We start from the raw sequence: 20,383 nt of genomic DNA on the forward strand, positions 1-20,383 counted from the left end.
TCTTTGTAGAATGGTATCACTGTTCTCCCTTTCTCAGGCAGTACTATAAAATGAACCAATACCAGTTATTTGAAGGTCCTTCAAACTCTAGAAGAAATTCTTTAATGGTGGAAAGCTGTAATATAAAGTATATATATTTAAATTTTTTATAACAAGTCTAAAGTAGGCTACATGTAGCCTTAGCTTTTTGTTATATAAAGTATGTGTATTTTAGGAGTATCAGCAGAATATTAAGCTGACTCAAAGATTGGAGGTGATATTTTCATCCCTCTCAGTTGTCATTCCATAGCAAGGATTCTTAAAATTGTATAAGCCCTTTTCAAATGAGAAGTTTCTAAAGCCATTTTGATGTATTTCTATAGTGTTAATGAAAGACATTGATAAAAATACATATAGTATCTAAAACTCCATTCTGTTTCAGACTAGTCCATGAATATTCCCCAAAGGGAATGTTAAAAGGGTTGTTTAGATTAATCTTAGTTTCTTTAACTTTCCCTAAATACACCAAGTAATGCTTCTTACTAAAAAAATTAAAAAATTAAAAAATGCTGGCCAGGCATGGTGGCTCACATCTCTAATCCTAGCACTTTGGGAGGCCAAGGTGGGAGGACTGCTTGAAGCTAGGAGTTCGAGGCCAGCCTAGGCAACACAACAAGACCCTGTGTCTACAAAATATATATACTGTTAATTAACCAGGCATGGTGGTAGCACAGGATTTTCTTCTAAGTTACTTTGCAAGCTGGGGACCTGCAGCCAGTGACGCCCTGCCTGGGCCTTGCTTGGCTGTGCTACCTGCTGCAGGAGATGGCCCACCCACTTGGCCCACCTGGGCTGTGTCTGACTTGAGCAGTGGTTCCCAAGTTCTTGTCCTGTGCCCAAGAAGAATGAAGATGCACTGACAATCTAAGAGTGAGCAAGGCGGGTAGTTTTACTGAGTGATTAAAACAGCTTTCAGTGGATGGGGGACATGGGGGTGTCTCCCTACCCAAAGGCAGGAACATCCCCTCAATGTGGCTGAGTTCTGGGGCTTTTTCTGGGCCCAGAATAGGGGAAGGGCAGGCAAATGGGAGCAGAAGTTCACAGTTTGGCTTGCAGGTTTCATCCAGGACCAGCAGGCTGTTCTTTCAGGCTTCGGGCTGTTTTTGGCTTGATGGTGGGGTTTCACCAGGGACCCGCCCCTGTCTGCCTAAGCATTTGGCTGCCTCCTCTTGCTGCCAGTGGCACAGGCCTATAGTCCTCACTACTTGGGATGCTAAGGCAGGAAGGTCAATTGAACCTAGAAGTTCAAGGCTTCAGTGAGCTATGATTGTGCTAGTGTATCCAGCTTGGGGGACACAGTGAGACCCTGTCTTTAAAAAAAAAAAAAAAAAAAAAAAAGGCTATCATCTGCAGCCTAAAAAATTTTATGCAGCTACTCAATACACAATAAAACACACACACACACACACACACACACACACACAACTTTCCTACTTCATTTTGCACTACTTTCTAGAAGGTATTAAAATGAATCAATAAAATTGACATATAACCAAAGTCAGGATGCAAGGGAAAAGCTCCATGATCAGAGAGATATGGTAACAAGAATGAATCTAAGTAAATGAAGATTTAGAACAAACTGCTGACTAGCTTCATAGAAAAAGAAAGTGCTATTGTCCATTAATTCATGTTCTAAGAAGCAGAAAACTTTTCACATACCACACACATGTAGACATCTGTGCTGAGATCTATCTATGCTGAGTTTAAAGTCCATCACTCCTAGTACAACTTGTCCTGGCTGATTCCTATAACAATTTCTTAGTAATGTGTACATGGAATCCTTTGAATACGTATTAAAGAATACTGTCAAAGCTGGGAGGCCTCAAATTTGTCACTGCCACCCATCTCTAAAGCCTACACACACATATCAGCCATACTGGGACATCTTTTTTTCAAATTTGCAAAAGTTATTGGATGCCTGAAATGTGTAAGTTAATGCTTTTTAATAGAAAGGACTCTAGAGTATATGCCCTAATCAGAAACCTCCTCTGGAGGCTCTTGGTTAAAATTGTAAGTAGGGCCACCCCAAGCAAAGTATTTTTTTTCAATTAGCTCAAAATAATCCTGTTGAAAAAAAGAAAACTGAACATTTTGATTAGGAGCTTTAATTAAATATATGTTGAGGTCCAACAATTGGTAATCCCTTTGGTAGAAGCACTATTAATATGTTCCGTTTCACTTCAGCAGAACATGAAAAAGGATGAGGATTGAATTCCTCTGTGGCATAGATTCCTAGAGGGCAGGGAGTTCTAGATCAGAGTCTTTTTAACCAGAGGAATACTTCAAATGCTTCCTAGGGTTCTTTGGTGAGTATTTTGCAAGCAGAGATTAGCTTAAGCATTGCTAGATTTTTTTTTCACTATCTCAAGTTTGCATAAGGATAATATTTCAGAATCTGAATCTAGTTCCTCTTTCTTTATCTGAATTGTATTCTTTAGTTGTATGTATTTGTTCTTAAGTATAGTCAAATATAGTGCCAAAAGCTCAATAGTCTAAGTATTGCCAGCTACAAGGTATAATATATATTTCATTTGTTTTTCCATAACCTAGAATTGGAAAACATGAAAATGAAGACCTGTCATTTACAATTATGCAGCCTCCATCTCTATATTTATTATTCTGCTAGAATGATACTGCTATCGTTTTAGACCTGAAACATTCTCTACCCTGTCCAGCTCTCTGCATATCCCTACCCCCACTGCCCCATAATGGATTAGACTCCAAAGAATATATTTTACTTTGTTGTTGTTCAGTCTAAAGCTCCTTCTCACCCTATTTTCCAAGGAGGCTGTATTGAATAGTGAATGAGAGCATTAGGCTTTGGACCAAATAGACCTAAATAGTTCAAATCCTGGCTGTTCCGGTGACTTAGACATGTTACTTTGGTCAAGTCAGTTAATCAGTTTTCTCATCTGCACATTTAGAATACCAGTATATACTTACAGTTGTGAAAATTAAGTGAGAAATATATTAGGTACATAACAGTGCCTGGAATAAGGGAGAGCTTAATGAATGCTAGTTAACTTCAGATCTATTTCCCCACATATTGAACTATATGGAGGAAATGATAGTTGGAGTCAATTATTTTTCTGTTCTTTGCTCCTTCCTTTTGTGGGAAAAGTAAGACCATTAAGAACATTTTTGCATTTTTTTATAGAGATAAAATCCATATAACATAAAACTCATTATTTTAAAGTATAAAATTTAGTTATTTTACGATATTCACGATGTTGTGCAACCATAACCACTAATTCCAGAATGTTTCCATTATTCCAAAGAGAAATCTCATACCCATTAAGCAGCAGTCACTCTCAATTCTTCCCCAACCCTTATCCCCTGGAAATGACTAATCAACTTTCTGTCTCTATGAGTCTGCCCATTCTAGACATATTATATAAATGTAATCATGTGATATGTGGCCTTTTGTGTCTGGCTTTTTAAATTTAACACAATGTTTTAAAGCTTCATCCATGGTATTGCATGTATCCATACTGCATTCCTTTTTATGCCTAAATAGTGTTCTATTTTATGCATATGCCATATTTGTTTTTCCATTCATTGTTTGATAGACATTTGGATTATTTCCTTATCTTGGCTCTTATTAATAATGCTGCTATGAACATTTGTGCACAGGGTTTTGTGTGAACTTACATTTTCAATTAGGACCATTAAGAATTTGCTTCCCAATATCACATGCTAACTAGTAGCGATTATTGTAATTTTCTATAGCAGACATTCAGAGTCATGGAGGGTGGGGTAGGGGTTGGGAGTGTCTTAAATTTCAGTGACTTCAAACAGTTTGAACACTCTTCTCTTTTTAGAATGCATGCTACAAGCAGATATACTGCCATGCTCTTATCCAGTAATTTAGGTAAAGTTAACTCAATAATAATTATATGCAATTATATAACATACAGGCAAACATATATGCATGCACATGCTGGGCTGAAGTGACTTTTTTAGTACAAAATAAGCTCTGGTCCTGCACTTACTTATTAAGGAGTTTTGTGTATAAAGATATCCCCTTCCCTCTATCGGGGCCCTTTTGGATCCCTTCAGCCTCCATCTTTTCCATTCTTCTGCCCCCATCTTTTCCATTCTTCTGCCCCCAGAATCCGATGCTGTCCTAAGAATGTTTGGCACCAATCATCTTTGAGAAAAGGTTACACAAATTAAATCTTTCACCAGGGACTTACAGTTTAACAATGTGATTCTTTTCCCAGAAGTAGTTCCACATTAAAGGAGAACAAAGTGAGGACAATGTTTGACCCAAAAGATGGTTACTAATGGTGGTTTCTTTACTCACCAGGAAGATATTTGAATCAAGGTCCTTGCCAGTGTTCATAGCTTCCCATTCGGATATGACTCTGAATGTCTGCTGTAGAAAATTACAGTAATTCCCATTAAGGAAATGACTGCTTTCTTCTGCACCAAGATTGTGTTTTCAGATCTTTTTCCATCTTTTGTAAGCCTTCACCCATTTTGATCATGTAAGATATGTATACAGCCTGATTCATATTATTTTTAACTTTTCTAAGGGTGTTCCTTATTAAAGTGTTGGCATTACCCTAGAAGTCCCCATTCAGCAGGGTTAATGCCCCACCTCCCCACCCGCCCCCCCGCCCACACAAAATGCCCCACCCCTGCTTTGACATTTGATACCTTGGACTCAAGTCTTGTTAAGTAACTTTGAAAAAGTTATTTAACCACTCTGAGCCTCATCAGTGTCCTCAGCTCTATGGCAATAATACTAATAATAATGTTAACCCTCCATAATTATTGTGCAGATTAGAGATTAAAACATCTAGCAAAGTACTTGGCACTTGATTAGTGCTCAATATATAGTAATTGTATTATTGCTGTTGCTCACAGTGAGGGGAAGTCAGATGTGGTTTCCTAGGTCCTGCCTATTTACAGAAGGTTCCTGTGTCTGGTGTAGCTTTCTTAGGTTATGCTCTGTCCTCTGATCCCCAAGCAGCTGCCTCTGTCTCTTTATCTCAATCACTTTAACTCCAGATTGAGTTGAATTGAATTGAAAGCAAAGATAAAGGAATAGTAACTTGAAGACACATGATCTACGAGCTACACAAAAACATGTTGAAGGGAAACAGACAACCTAGGAGTCCTGTCATGGTTTCAGTGCACTGGATTGCAGGAAGTCAGAAAACTGGGCTCCAGTTCTGGTTCTGTCATTTGCTAGGTGTAAGATTCTGGGCAAGATTTTTGAACTCTCTGAGCTTCAGTGCCCTCTTCCATAAAATGGTATTAACATTGGTACGACTTCATGCTTTGGGGTAAAGAGGTGAGATACCCTAAATGAATGATGACCAAATAGAGGCAACTGTAAATAAAAGATTTTTTATTTCCCCAGTGACTGAGGGGAGGCTGTTACTGGTTATGGGAACAGAGACATTAACACTCTTCAAAGTGGGGCAGTTGCACATGACAAAGAATTGTCCTGTGGCAGATGTCAGTAGCACTCCTATTGAGAAACACTGCACTTAATGAATATGTTTTTGAAATTTTAACATCTAACATGAAAAATCACTCCAGTGCCCACCAATTAATACATGGATTTCATTGACAGGGGTCTCTCTTCTTGTGTTCTGTGACTAGGATGTCTTGAGCATAATCCTAAACTTTTCATTTTCCCCCAGAAAAATGGACTCCAAAACAACCATTTTTAAGTTTCCCATCTCCTGCTTTCCCTGCCGCCAAATAAATGAACAAATCTCAATCTGAGTAAATCTCAGGAGTTAACAATTGGTAAGAAATGTATCTCAGAAAAATGGTGATTAGAATCATGAAATGAAGCTTGTTAAATGTGTTTTGAGCCCGTTGGAATGCAGGAGTTTTATAAAATACAAGATGGTATTGTTTTCCCCCGAATGTGGGTGCCTCCATGAGTTGTACTGTCGACAGGTTTACATTTTACAGCAGTATGTGAATAGCATGAGAAAAAACAAAACCATCTGTAATGTATCTAGGGTTCTTTTCCAATAAGTGTATTTTTCGATTATAAGGAGCATTAAAGTCACATTATAGAAAATTTGGAAAATAAAGAAAAGAACAGAGGAATCATCTATAATTATTCAACTCCTAAAATAACCACTATTAAAATGTTGATGTATTTCTTTTTAGTGTATTTCACTTGGTATATTCTCGATTTTCAACAACAGTTTTGTCATTGAACATTAAATCTAATACTTATATGATTCCTTTTGAAATTAGAAGTTGTTTTGTGATAAATGTCTTTATGGCTGCAGGCTTTGGGGGGAAATCGTAGGTTCTTGCATTTAAATGACTTTGAACTTAATGATGTGTTGTGCCTTAAAGCAAACAATAGGGAAATTATATTTTCAGCATCTAGAGTTGTTTGTGTTACACTCCGAAGCCACTTCTTTTTTTCCAGCTTTTAATCCCCTAGAGTACTTGAAGGAGCAGAACTATGAGAAGCAACACCACACTAATTTAGTTTTCATGCAGAGAAAGACTCTAGTGCTGGATTCAGATATTTTTGTGAGCAAATAAAAATCTCCGGAGACTTTGTAGCTTAGTGAATAAAGGATTGGCCTCCAACCAAACCCAACTAAATGAATTTGGTGGTCTCAGCTGAGTTTCCAGCAAGTTTTAGCCTGCATTACAAATTCATCACGCACAATTATGTGCAATTTGGCACAACTTCCAATCCCTGCTTAGTAGAGGCCCTCTGTTTGGGACAGAAGGGGAGCATAAAATACTTCTTGTGCCTAGAGGGAGCAGTTCTCTTAGGTCAAGGTTGTGTTACATATGGAAAGGGATGGGGTAGAAGTGTTGTCAAGCACAAAGAATCTAGGAATATGTGGGTACTGAACATTAGTTGTGTTTACCATTTGAAATTTCTCACTGTAAGGTTCTTCATTCAAACAGAAGATGACAGTTCTGACACCAGTGGGCACATAGATTCTCTCCCAGCTAAAACTGGAACAGGTGAGTTAAGATCCATACAATTTTGTTCTCACCTAACACTGGAATATAGAGCAGAATGCAAAAGCAGTTTAGAACGTAGTTGGAAAAAAAACTCAGACCTGATGAAGTGCCTAATATGTTGGAACAAATATATTAGGAATCTCTAGAAATATCACATATGTCTAGTATTGCAGTAATGCAGAATAATTGTTTGATTGAACATAGGCCAACTCAGGAAATGAAAATTTTAGCAATTAACTTACTTTCCATGGTCCATTCTTCTTACATTCCATATATTCAACTTGGGTTTGTTTTAATTATTTGGAGAGAAGTATATTGAATAGCTGAGTGTTCCTTGCTTTGTGTTCTAGTTCTTAAGGAGCTGGCATTTTGCTGGCAGTTCACTCTGCATAAGATGAAATGTATAGATTCCAAAACATATAATCCATAATCAGAGATCGGACCGTGAAGCACCATCAAATGTCATGCATTTTCTAGGTCTGGGTAGCAAGGTAAAGCCAGTCTGTGAGAGGTGCTAATTGATAAATCAAGATTTCCTTCTCTGAATGAGTCTTTCATCAGTGTCTAATTTAACCAGTATTCTGGTTATTAACTGGAATACTGAGACTAGAGTTTGCTGTTAGTTAGGCAAAACCTAAAATAGCCTCTGCTGATTGCATTATCAATAATTGAAACTTAATTGAAAGCAACAAACTGTTGATTTCTCTAACAGAGCAAAGAAATCCAACCAAGTAGCCAAAGGAAAATAACCCAGATAAGCATAAGGTTGACATTTCAACTCTTATTCCAAAAAACACTGGCATGGATATTAAACAGATTGTCTTTCTAATTTAGAACAAAAGGACTCAAGCTAGCCAAGAGGGCAGAAGCTGATATCAGAACTTCCTCTTTCAGTTTCACACCTAAAAGTGTTATGGGAGACAAAGCAACTGACGATGGAACCAGAAATATCCCAAGGCAGTTGGTGGAGTGGCAGCTCTAGCCTTCTCTTTCCCTGGGAAAAGTTAGTACCTTTCTGTCTAGATGAGGTGTTGACTGAGGGACCCACACCACTCCCACCAGCTAACCTATCAGGCATCCTGCCACAAATTGTTGGCCATGGCTACTGTGATTCTTCTGAGGTCTCTCCTAAGTAAACAATCATAAACTCAGTTGTGTAGGCAATCCAATTTCTCATTTGCCTATTATAAGCCGACAAGCGTATACAGGATTTAATTAATTCTTTGGGAGACAGCATGGAAAGAACTTGGGCTTAGAAGTCAGATTAATGTTCAGTTTTGCCTTGCCTCTTCTAAGCTGTGTGACCTTAAGTTAAATTATTTAACTTTTTGTGGTTTGGTTTGTTCATTCTTAAAATAGGAATAGATAATTCCTTACATTTTTAGTGAAGAATGCTTATAAACCACTTAACATAGAACTTGGCACACAATTGTAGGTATTACAGATGAACTTTTAAATCTTGCTATGGTACTTATGGTGAGTCCATGATATATAAAGGCAATAATACATAACAAAGCCCTTCTGATTAATGCTTGAGGAAGGGGAAAATCAGAGCTGACAACTCCTCCTTTCTAACATGTTACATCCTCAAGTAATACCTAGCTGCTTTGGTTCAAGAACAAATGAGAGAGGGAAATTAAAGGAGGAAGAGGTGAAGAATGAAACAAGCAAGATAAAGAGACTGCAGAGGTGCCTCCTAGAAACCCTTGATAGAGGAGAAGCAGGATTAAGACCACTAGAAATAGAGGAAGGAACATAGTTTCTAGCAACATGGTGTAAGCCTCCTAGACACAGAACACGTGAAGATACTGAAAAAAAAATTCAAATCACATTTTTTAATGCAAGTCTAAGCTGGAAATTAAAAGAAATTCCTAGAGGCAAAAATGAAGAGAAAGAGTGAATCTATCAGGGAAACGCTGAGCTGGAGTCCACTGCCAAGCCCTGCTAGCCTTATATTACCGGGACAAGAGACAGTGCCTAAGAGCCATGGATGAGTAGGAGGTCAGAGTGGAGACTCCTTCATAAGGCTGCAAAACCTCCCACTCAACCAAATAGCAGTACACTCAGTGAGAAAAACCACCTGGCAGAGGAACATCCTAATCTTCCTTGTCTTTACCATGACTCTGAATAGAAAAATTCTCTATAGGATGGCTATTCTCAAACACAGGTTTGAGGATCCCTAAAAAACTCAGGCGACAATTTTGGTTAAATTGTGTCCATGTTGATAATGCCTCAGGGGTAGAAGCAAACCCCAATTCTCTCTCAGACAATATAGTTTAATCCCTTAGCTTAAAGAATTCCCAGAGAAAACTCCAAGAGACACGAGTTCTTAACCAAACTCACTAAACCTGTGGAAGCCTTCATGAGGTCCAATCAGTAAAAACAATAACCTATATAAACAGACCCTCACAGAATATTGGAATTACCAGATACAGAATAACATGCCTGTATTAGGTCATTCTTGTACTGCTATAAAGAAATACCTGTGACTGGGTAATTTATAAAGAAAAGAGGTTTAATTGGCTCACAGTTCTGCAGGCTGTACAAGAAGCATACTAGCTTCTGCGTCTTGGGAGGCCTCAGGAAAGTTACAATCATGGGGGAAGGTGAAGGGCAAACAGGCAGGTCACACATGGCTGGAGCAGGAGGGAGAGAGGGAGTGGGGAGGTGCCACACACTTTTGAACAACCAGACCTCACAATAACTCACTATGCAGTACCAAAGCGGGTACTAAACCATTCATCAGAACTCCGCCCCCATGATCCAATAACCTCCCACCAGGCCCCACCTCCAACACCGGGGATTACAATTTGACATGAGATTGAGTGGGGACACAGAACCAAACCATATCAGTGCCCATATCCTATGACCCAGATAATGTACCCTATATAGGGTCTGGCATATGCTCCCGGAGATAATGTACAAGAATATTCACAGCAGCAACTTTCTTAGTAGCTCCAAACCATAACCAACCTAAATTTCCACCAATAGTAGACTAGATAAGCAAATTGTAGCATGTATTTTCAATGGAATACTTACCATTGAAGCCCATACAAATTAGTGAATTATAGATGTACTTATCGACATCATCAAAAACATCCAGGAATAAAAGGGAAGTAACAGATACTTATACCAAGTATGTTTCCATTAATAACAATTCAAAAGCAGCACACTCTTTAGAGATGCATTCATATGTAGAAAAACTATATGTAAAAAAATCAACAAAGCAAAGGATTGATTAACACAAAATTCAGTATAGTAGATACCTCAGAGTAGAGAGGACTCTGAGGCTGAAGGAAGGTACACAGGTGTTCATTTTTTAAAACTTTATTCAGACTGTCATGCACATCATATATATTCTTTGGATATATGGCAATTCCACAGTAATAAGCAAATAAAAGCAGGAATTAGAAGAAAAGGGAAAGAGGAACAAGAGCAGTTTTTTAGGCTAGGGTGAATTGAAGGGAAAAATTGGGAGATCCTAAAGTGGAAAAGGGAAAAGAGTGTGAGAGAAAGAAAATGGGGGAGCACGATTTACGGCAGGGGTGTCCATCCCCCGGGCTGTGGACTGGTACCTATCTGTGGCCTGTTAGGAACTGGGCCACAAAACAGGAGGGGAGCAGCTGGGGAGCCAGAATTACTGCCTGAGTTCCGCCTGCTGTCAGATCAGCAGTGGCATCAGATTCTTACAGGAGTGTGAACCCTATTGTGAACTGCACATGGGAGGGAGCTGGGTTGTGTGCTCCTTATGAGAATCTAATGCCTGATGATTTGAGATGGAACAGTTTCATTCCCAAACCTCTCGCCTGCCCTGTCCATGGAAAAATTGTCTTTCACGAAACCAGTCTCTGGTGACAAAAAGGTTGGGGACCACTGTATTTTGAGTGTAATCTCCCTTTGGCTTTTTTTTTGAGAAATAGTAATAATGATATAATCTACTTTTTATTTATTTTTGGGTGCTGGAGTGAGGTTCCTTTGAATGCAACGAAACATAAACAAGGCAGTTCAATTTATATGGGTTTATGCACATAAACCCATATGAATTTATATGGTCTATACAGCCTTTCTTTTTTGTGTTTGTATTTGCTTATACAAGTTTTTCATAGCAGAAAAAGATTGAGCGTGCATCAGCTTCCTTATATACATATGGCTGAAGTCATCTCGGTGCTACCTCGTGTGCCTTGGGTTATTTTTACCCTGTTTCTGTTCCCCTTTCTTTCATTTGTCCCATATACTATAATCCTCATTTATGTGTACATTTGTAAGCATCATCATATACTGCTTTCTCATTTTTGGGACACACAGGTTTTTATATCATAAAACCTCTTTGGAAAGTTGGTGGCATTTCATAATCAGCCTGTATATTCATTGTGGTATGTTAATATTATTTTCTTTTCCAACAAAAACACTATTATTTAAATGGATAGTGCCTCTGAAATCACTAATTTTTTTTTTTTTTTTTTTTTTTTTTTTTTTTTTTTTTTTAAGACAGAGTCTCAGTCTGTCACCCAGGCTGGAGTGCAGTGGCACCATCTCAGCTCACTGCAACCTCTGCCTCCCGAGTAGCTGGGATTACAGGTACCTGCCACCATTCCCGGCTAATTTTTGTATTTTTAGTAGAGACACCAATGGCCAGGCTGGTCTCAAACTCCTGACCTCAGGTAATCCACCTGCCTTGGCCTCCCACAGTGCTGGGAGTACTGGCATGAGCCGCCACATGCAGCCCCATCACCAACCATTTAAAGTGAAAAGAATATGAAAATAAATACTTATCTCTTACTCTTTTTGTCTCATTAAAGTGCATTCTCATTCAAGGCAAATTCATTTCCCCTCCCCTGAGCTCGCCAAGTATTTAAATAGTAACATTTCCTCATATCAACTGCTCTTGCTGCCTTTTTCTTCTTTAACTCTGTTTTTTCTACACTACCTAGAAAACGTGTATTTTTCCACCTACCAAAGTAATCTGCCCATTTAATGGTTCCTAGCAATGTCCAAGTTGACAAAGGTTATAGCCAAAAAATAACTGTGACAAGACACATGTAAATATAAGGTTTTATTTAAAACAAATCTAAGATACAATTCCCAGGAATGCATGAAATTTATGCTTTTTCACTTATAATGGACCATAAGAATTTAGTTACTGGAATTAAAATATTTCAGATAAGTGAATCTTTTAGATAACAGAAGATAAGATTTTTTTTTTTTTCAGGGACATTTCATGACATAATGGAAAGAAATGGAATTATGGCATGAAAATATCTTCCTGGGTCTAAGCCCTAGGGTTGCCATTTGCTAGCTGTGAAACTGGGAAAGCCAAAACTTCTAAGTCTGTTTTTGAATCTCTAATACTATTTTAAGACACTGATAATAGAAATAATTTAATATACTATGTATAAATATATATATATGATAGCTATGAGGTACTAGCCACTGTTGTTCTAAGCACTTTACATATTCTAATTCAACCCTCAAAATAACTTTATGAGCTACATACTATTATTATCACCATTTTGAACAGTGGCGGAAAGTTAGGAACAAAGAGACTAAGTAACTTTTAGGCACAGAATTACACATTTATCGGCACAGAGTTACACATTCAGTGTCAGAGCCAGGTTTTGAATCCAGGCAACGGATGGGTGGATGGATGGGCGGGCAGGTGGGCAGTCAGACATAGCTCTGAAGATGAAGGAGTCTTGTATTTATTTTTATTTTTATTTTATTTTATTTTATTTTTTGAGACGGAGTCTCGCTCTGTCGCCCAGGCTGGAGTGCAGTGGCGCGATCTCGGCTCACTACAAGCTCCGCCTCCCGGGTTCACGCCATTCTCCTGCCTCAGCCCCCTGAGTAGCTGGGACTACAGGCGCCCGCCACCACGCCAGGCTAATTTTTTTTTTTTTAATTTTTTTTTATTTTTAATAGAGATGGGGTTTCGCCGTTTTCGCCAGGATGGTCTCCATCTCCTGACCTCGTGATCCGCCTGCCTTGGCCTCCCAAAGTGCTGCGATTACAGGCGTGAGCCACCGCGCCTGGCTGAGGGAGTCTTTTAAAAGTGTATCACATGCTTTCTGGCCTCATCAATATGAAACATCAGTTAACCTTTTATTGCCACTACACGACTTTCACCATGAGCACATGTTAAAACACACTGCTGTACCAGAGTGATGCTCCCATGCTGACTGCTGTGGTAACAGGGCATGCCTTTGTAGAGATGCCTGCGGTCCATGACTGGGACAAAAGGCAGTAGAACTCATACTTGTTGCATAAGTACAGCATGTACGGCCATTTTCCTGCATATTTTATTTAGACAGATTTTTTTGTCACCATCTTACAGAAGAGGAAATTGACTCAAAGAGGGCAAGTGATTTGCCCAGTGTCTCACAACTCTTAGACAGTAGTGGCAGGATTGGAGTGTAGAATAGTCTGCCTCCAAAGTTTGCCTGCATTCTTTATGCTCACATGCTGCCTTTAAAGTTTTTTATGTTATTTTTAATGGGCAATCACAATTGTATCACATGCTGCCTTCTGTGGTGAGGTTAGAACCATCATCCTGGATGGTGAATATGTTTGATCAGTTTATAAGCCCATGTTATGATCATTTCAGTAACATTCATTTACTGCAGATATGTAAAAATTGTAGACATCAAGTAATGAAAAAATAATCACCACTGAGATTTTAGGGCACTACTATTTTCTCCAGGATTTTGTGAGGAAAGTATAAAACATGGTAGTTCACAGATGGTTCAAACTGATATGTGTTCTTTATACTTTGCCTCCTGATTAACTTTGTTTATACCCAGAATGAGGATTCCATTCTAGAGTTACTGTTCTTCACTTGCAGATGTGTCTAAATATGTCAATGAAAGGAACTGGAACTGTGTAATGTTATAGGGTAGTATTGAAACTGATCTATTAACTATAGTTTATATAGAAAAAAAGTTGGCTAATGTAATCCTTTTTAAAAGAGATTTCATGTTTTAAGAAAAGCTCATACTTCACTAGATATAGCATAGGCTCTTGAATTAGAGTTCTTTAGTTGAACTCACAACTCGACCTCACAGCTCTCTAGTTGTGAGATCTCAAGCAAATTAATTAGCCTTACTAAATCTTAGTTTTCTTGTCTGTAAAATGGATATCACAATTGTATCTATATCATATGATTGTTGTTAATTCAAGTGGCCAAGAAAATATGATAAAGTGTTCAATATCACTAATCATCAGAGAAATGCAAATTAAAACCACAATGAGCTACCATCTCACATCAGTCAGAAGGGCTGTTATTAAAAAGTCAAAAAACAACAAGTGTTGGTTAGGATGCAGAAAAAAGAGAATGCTTATACACATTGGTGGGAATGTAAATTAGTATAACCACTATGGGAAACAGGATAAAGATTCCCTAAAGAACTAAAAATAGAACTACCATTAGACCCATCTATCCTACTACTGTGTATCTACTCAAAGGAAAAGAAATTATTGTATCAAAAAGATACAATATTGTATCAAAAAATACCCATGCTTGTATATTTATTACAGCACTATTCACAATAGCAGAGTCATGGAATCAACCTAAGTGTCCATCAATGGATGCCTGGAAGAAGACAATGCGGTATCTATACACCATGGATACTATGCAGCCGTAAGGAAGAATGAAACTGTCTTTTGCAGCAACATTTTGCTTGTCTTATCATTACCTGGAGGCCATTAACCTAAGTGAAATAACTCAAATACAGAAAATCAAATACTAAATGTTCTCACTTATAAGTGGGAGCCAAACAATGTGTACACATGGACATAAAGATGAAAATAATAGATACTGGGGGCTGGACGTGGTGGCTCATGTCTGTAATCCCAGCACTTTGGGAGGCCGAGGCTGGTGGATCACCTGAGATGAGGAGTTTGAGACCAGCCTGGCCAACATGGTGAAAACCTGTCTCTACTAAAAATACAAAAATTAGCTGGATGTGATGGTGCGTGCCTGTAATCCCAGCTACTTGGGAGGCTGAGGCAGGAAAGTCACTTGAACCCAGGAGGCGGAGGTTGCAGTGAGCTGAGATCACACCATTGCACTCCAGCCTGGGCAACAAGAGCAAGACTCCATCTCAAAAAAAAAAAAAGAGGCACTGGGGACTCCAAAGGGGAGGAGAATGGATGAGGGTTGAAAAATTACCTGTTAGGTACACTCTTCACTATTTGAGTGATGGGTTACTAGAAGCCCAAACCTCACCATTACACAACATATCCGTATGAAAACCTGCATATGTACCCCCCCCGAATCCATAATAAAAATTTTTGTTTTAAAATGACACAACCTACGTAAAGCACTTAGCAGGGTGCCTCATGCACGCCAATGGCTCAATAAATGATAGCTGTTCATATTTGTATTGATAGCGTTGGTAACAGAAATTGTTATAGCCTTCATTTTATTTATCATTACTTATATATCTAAGCAGTATGTCCCCTTTTGGGTTGTGTGTGTATTTCATACATAAATAAGGTATGTTTGTAGAGCGTCTTTTTTTTTTTTTTTTTTAAGAAAGAAAGCACAGCTCTTTCCTATCATTCCAGCAATGCCAATTATGAGCCAGGCACAACTTTCTAACTAATTGGATGTAGATGAACACAATTGATATTACCCTTGCTTTTTTTCAGATAGAGAAATTGAGGTACATAATCCCAGGTGTTCATCTCAAATTATAAATTAGCATACAAATTGAGGGAAGTGTTGATGTATAAATATTCTAGATGTAGTCATTTTAAATTATATTGCCTTTTGGTCTGATTGTTACAAGACGCTGCCTTGAAAGCCATTGTTTAAGAGAGTAAAAGCTTTTTATTGGAATTCTTGTGACCTTCATATCCAATTATTTTTTTAATTGCTATATTTGAGTAACAACATATCTCAATTTAAAAACTAAATTCTTGCTTTAAGTAATACATGGATTCAGATAGAATAAGTCCTTAGTTTTTGTAATACTTATACAATTTTTATTCATGTTCTGATGCTTTGTTTTTTGAGCCATATGTGTGTATATGCATTATCTACTCTGACCTGGTTTAAAGATCTTGAATCAAGTTTGCTTTTTGATATAAAGTTCAGCATAGCTATCATGCATTCCATCATTAGAATAATACATTCTGATAAAACACCAAGTGTCTGTCTCCTGCAGTTTGGTATTTTAATAAGGGTGGAGTACATCTGAAACTTATATCACATTGCAAGCTGCATATATTGCCAAACCTTAAAAACACACTAGACACAAGAGGGAGGTCTTTCTTTTTAATGGAATCTGATATTATCTGAGTTGTTACACTTAGGTTTACTGGGTATTTTTATTTCTTTATAAATATATGTTTGCTAAAGCATAATAGTTTTATTATTGTGATAGGTTTATGTATTTCTTTGAACATATATTGTTAAACACAAAAGGATAGTAAAGTTATATCGAATAGGGTTTTAGAAGCATGAAATACATGCCCCTAAAAATTTATCAACTTTTTTTATGATGAATTTTTATGATGAATTTTGGAAAATGCATTTCACAATCACAAATAAATGTGGGCATTAGGATGTGAGGAGGCAAATCTTATTCTAGTTTAGAATCTCTCTCTGCTGCCAGATGTGGCTTTTGACAAAACCCAGAGAGCTTGAAGGGTAGATATGTTACATAAATAAAACGAAGTTTCTTCCCTACAAGGGCTCTGGGCTCAGCTCTGATGTTAGATCTCTGAACGTGCTTTCTCACCATCAGGCACCACAATGGGGATAATGTTCCAGGTAATTCTAACACAGGCAAAATAGCCTGTTTTATTATAAAATAAATTTTGCATTCCAGACAACAGAAATTTTTAATTAATACAAGATTTGGCTTGAATAACAAAGAGACTTGAAAGTCAATAGCAAATCCTTCAACTGCACTTCCTCAATGACTGATTTAGAGAGCAAAATCTGAGAGCTTAGAGGTAGCAAAATAAAATTTGTCTACCGTACAGCACTTAAAACAAGAGGGAATACATAACAAAGTAACCTAGAAACTGACTTAGAAAATGCAGCTCTCAGGTCTAGGTAGTACCAGCAAGAAAATCAATAAATGTCTTCATTAGGGTTTGGAGAAGAGAGGCCTGGGGAAGGATACGAATGAGTAACCAGAAAGGTAATCGCATGCCGTGACTGGGATTCTTTTGGAATAATGGGAACAGCACTTTGCAGTTTACAAAGACCTTTAAGATAACTATCTCATTTGATTGCCATGACCACCTTATGAGAAGTACAGAAAGAATCATCTACATTTCATAGCAGATCAAAAACTAAGGGAGAAGGAGGGGACAGAGGCTTCCCCAAGGTCTTAATAATGGGCTTGAACTGAGGTCTTCAGACCCCTAGTTCAGGCTCTTTCCATTACTACACAACCAAATTCCAAATTTCACAAGTCTAATTTTTCCTAAATTTAATGTGTGTTCACCAACATTATAAAAATACATAATCGCTAAGCTCTATCATCAGGGTCTTTTGGTTTGGCTCTTAATTGAAGGCTTGCTCCCATCTATCGTAGAGATAATACAGTAATGAAGGCTTTGGTTACATGTGGGGCTCTCTAAAATATATGCTTTCTGTATACCTAACCACTTCCTGATTCCAGATTGAAATATGGGACAAATCATAATAAAATAATAACCATAGCAAAAATAACACTAAATGGGACAAAGCAACAAACTATGGAATCATCTCACTTCCTCACTTATTCACAATGCTTGGGCTGAAGCCACACCATAAAGAAGATTCTGTCCTGGGCATATTATAACTCCTAAAGTGAGAGTGAGGCTGGTATCAGGGAAAGCCTGAAGGAGGCTAGCCGCATGATCCTTAGGGAATCCCTTACCTTTTGGAACTTCCTGCTATAATTTCTAAAATTATAGGTTTAAGTTGGATTATTTCTGGAGTCTATTCCCATCCAACTCTATGATTTAATTACTCTTAGTTGACCTTCTCAGTCCCCAGAAGTCTGATCGTTAATCCTTATGTCACAAAATAACCTATGAATTAATTGTCCCAGCTGACATTTATTGAGAATTTATTCTAGGCTGATCACAAGCCAAAGAGCTTTCCACTTTTCTGTGAGGTCATCTGGAATTTAACCTATTTATAAATGTGAAAAAAATGTGGCATCATTTAATGAAATTACTTAATCCTGATTATAAGCCAACCACTCTGCTGGATGGGTAGCGCCTTATAATATTCCAGTCATCTTTTGGTTTACAACAATCTTTTCATATCATCTTTTCTCCCTTTTTTTCTTCCTAAGGTGGCATCTGGATGCAGATTGGTTTGGCTCTGCCCTCGGAAGTTAGGAGTCATAAATTTGCAAACTGATTCTCCTCTCCCATTGTCCTCTGGGGTAGTAATACCTTCCATTATCTGCCAACAGGGGCTCTTCTAAACCCAACGGAGATTTTGGAGATCTACACTTGACACCACTGCCAACATCCAGCAGCCTAACCATGCCACACCAAAGAGTTTACTCAGCTGCACATTCCCCAGGCTAATACAAAGGACATAGCGTTGTCCCATTCTAGAGTGCCAAGTTACAAACAGGGCAAAATCTCCCTACTTTGGTCTTTCCTGCTACCCATAGCATTCTCCCTCTAGGATTTTCACCTAGCTACTAGGAGCAATAGGGAATGCCATGACACACATATCTCCCCACCTGTATCTCCTACCACTGTCCCCAGCTCCCCATAATCTCCAAGTCCTGAAAGGGATGATAGTAGCCAGCATGTATTGGGCAGTTATCATAGACTAGGAACTGGGCTAGGAACTTTCCATCTGGGGAGCTTTCTGCTACACCTCAGAATCACCTGAGGAGTTTCAAAATCATAAACAACCAGCCTTACCCAAGGAGATTCTGACTTAATTGGACTTGTGTATGGCCTGGGCATCAGCAATTTTAAAAGCTATCCAAATGAGCCTAATAGGCAGCACAGATTTGGAACCCCTTACCTTTGCTAATGCCTACTCTTTTTTGCCCTAGCATTTGCCCTGGTCCTTCCTTGGAGCCGTAAAGAAAGGTGCAGTTCTGAAAGAGAGATACTGACTTACCAATAGGGGACTATGCATTGACAGATATTTTATTTTATTTATATTTATTTAATTTTTTTTAATTTTTTTTTTATTTTTTGGGATGGGGTCTCACTCTGTCACCCAGCAATTGTACAGTGGTGCAGTCACCACTGTCTGCAGCCTTAATTTCTCAGGCTTGAGCGATCCCCCAACCTCAGCCTCCAAGTAGCTGGGAATACAGATTTGCACCACCTCACCTGGCTAATTTTTGTATTTGTTGGAGAGATAGGTTTTTGCCATGTTGCCCAGGCTGGTCTCTTAACTCCTGGGCTCAAGTAATCCTCCTGTCTCAGCCTCCCAAAATGCTAGGATTACAAGCATGAGTTACCACGCTTGGCCTGACAGATTTTTCTTTTTTAAACATTATTCCTGTTTCACCTACAAAACACACTTACTCCTTAAAGCAAACGCATTGTACAAATGAGTGGGATTCTATTCAGCCTCACCTGTCTACATGACCTAATGGTTTTAAAAAGCAGTAGGCTTGTCCATTTATTAGATGCACTAAAGAAGAAAATAGTATCAGTCACCTATCAACCACCCCTCTCCATTTTCACATCACTTATGCCAGGGCTAGATGTTCAACTGCTGGGGGATTATCCCCCTTGGATGAATGGAGCTGACAATGGTTAATAATAGTCAGTCTTTTGGGACTATGATTTGAATACTCTAGATACCTGTCAATTGTTTCCTAGATACCTGTCACTGGCATGGGTACCTTCGGTAGCTTTCAGGGCACTGGGAAACATCTTGCTCACTTCAAAGTAAAGGGATCAGCCTGGATCACCAGATACCCATCATATAGACAAGAAGAATGTGCCAGCCATAGTACACTCACTCCTGACCAGAGCTGAGACAACTCATGGAGCTCTTCCTCAGTTCCGCATTAGGAGAAATGAACTATTCTGATAGAGAATAGCCCTTACTGGTTCATTTATTCTAAGGCTGTTACATTAGAGGAAAGAGCCAGTCATTGTTTTTCTATGGATTATTACCTCAGTCATATCCTGTAACTGATTACTGGTGGGCTAATTGCTATTTTTTTTATTTTATTTATTTTATATTATACTTTAAGTTCTAGGGTACATGTGCACAACGTTCAGGTTTTTGGGCTTTACCTGCCTTAGGTAGACAAAATATAGAAGTATGTAAAGGTACATCATTTTTTTTGTCTGATTTGTGCTGACAAATACAAGTTTATTTTAAATTCATTATACACGATCAAACAAAAATGTACTAACTTCACAACATATTTAGTATGAC

At 38.3% G+C, this 20,383-nt stretch overlaps 1 protein-coding gene and 1 long non-coding RNA gene across 12 annotated transcripts in view, besides 2 other annotated features; both read left to right on the forward strand.

Moving 5' to 3' along the window:
- Nucleotides 1-20,383, forward strand: part of ADAMTSL1 (ADAMTS like 1) — a 1,004,318-nt gene that overhangs the window by 448,542 nt on the left and 535,393 nt on the right. The window lies entirely within an intron of this gene.
- Nucleotides 1-20,383, forward strand: part of LOC107986990 (uncharacterized) — a 39,734-nt gene that overhangs the window by 10,718 nt on the left and 8,633 nt on the right. The window contains exon 2 of the long non-coding RNA XR_001746428.1: nt 5,697-7,008. This is a non-coding gene — a long non-coding RNA (uncharacterized LOC107986990). The remainder of the gene's footprint in view (nt 1-5,696; nt 7,009-20,383) is intronic.
- Nucleotides 5,932-9,003: an enhancer, noted in NCBI's record as "VISTA enhancer hs2537". NCBI's record gives its function as "enhancer in: neural tube[3/4] | heart[3/4]" and the evidence as "EXISTENCE:transgenic organism evidence [ECO:0001131][PMID:17130149]".
- Nucleotides 11,470-11,971: an enhancer, noted in NCBI's record as "NANOG hESC enhancer chr9:18366642-18367143 (GRCh37/hg19 assembly coordinates)". NCBI's record gives its function as "activates a minimal SCP1, AML or CMV promoter by ChIP-STARR-seq in naive H9 embryonic stem cells {active_cell/tissue: H9 hESC(naive)}" and the evidence as "EXISTENCE:reporter gene assay evidence [ECO:0000049][PMID:30033119]".

Source organism: Homo sapiens, chromosome 9 (assembly GCF_000001405.40).
Source record: "Homo sapiens chromosome 9, GRCh38.p14 Primary Assembly".
Taxonomy (NCBI): domain Eukaryota; kingdom Metazoa; phylum Chordata; class Mammalia; order Primates; family Hominidae; genus Homo; species Homo sapiens.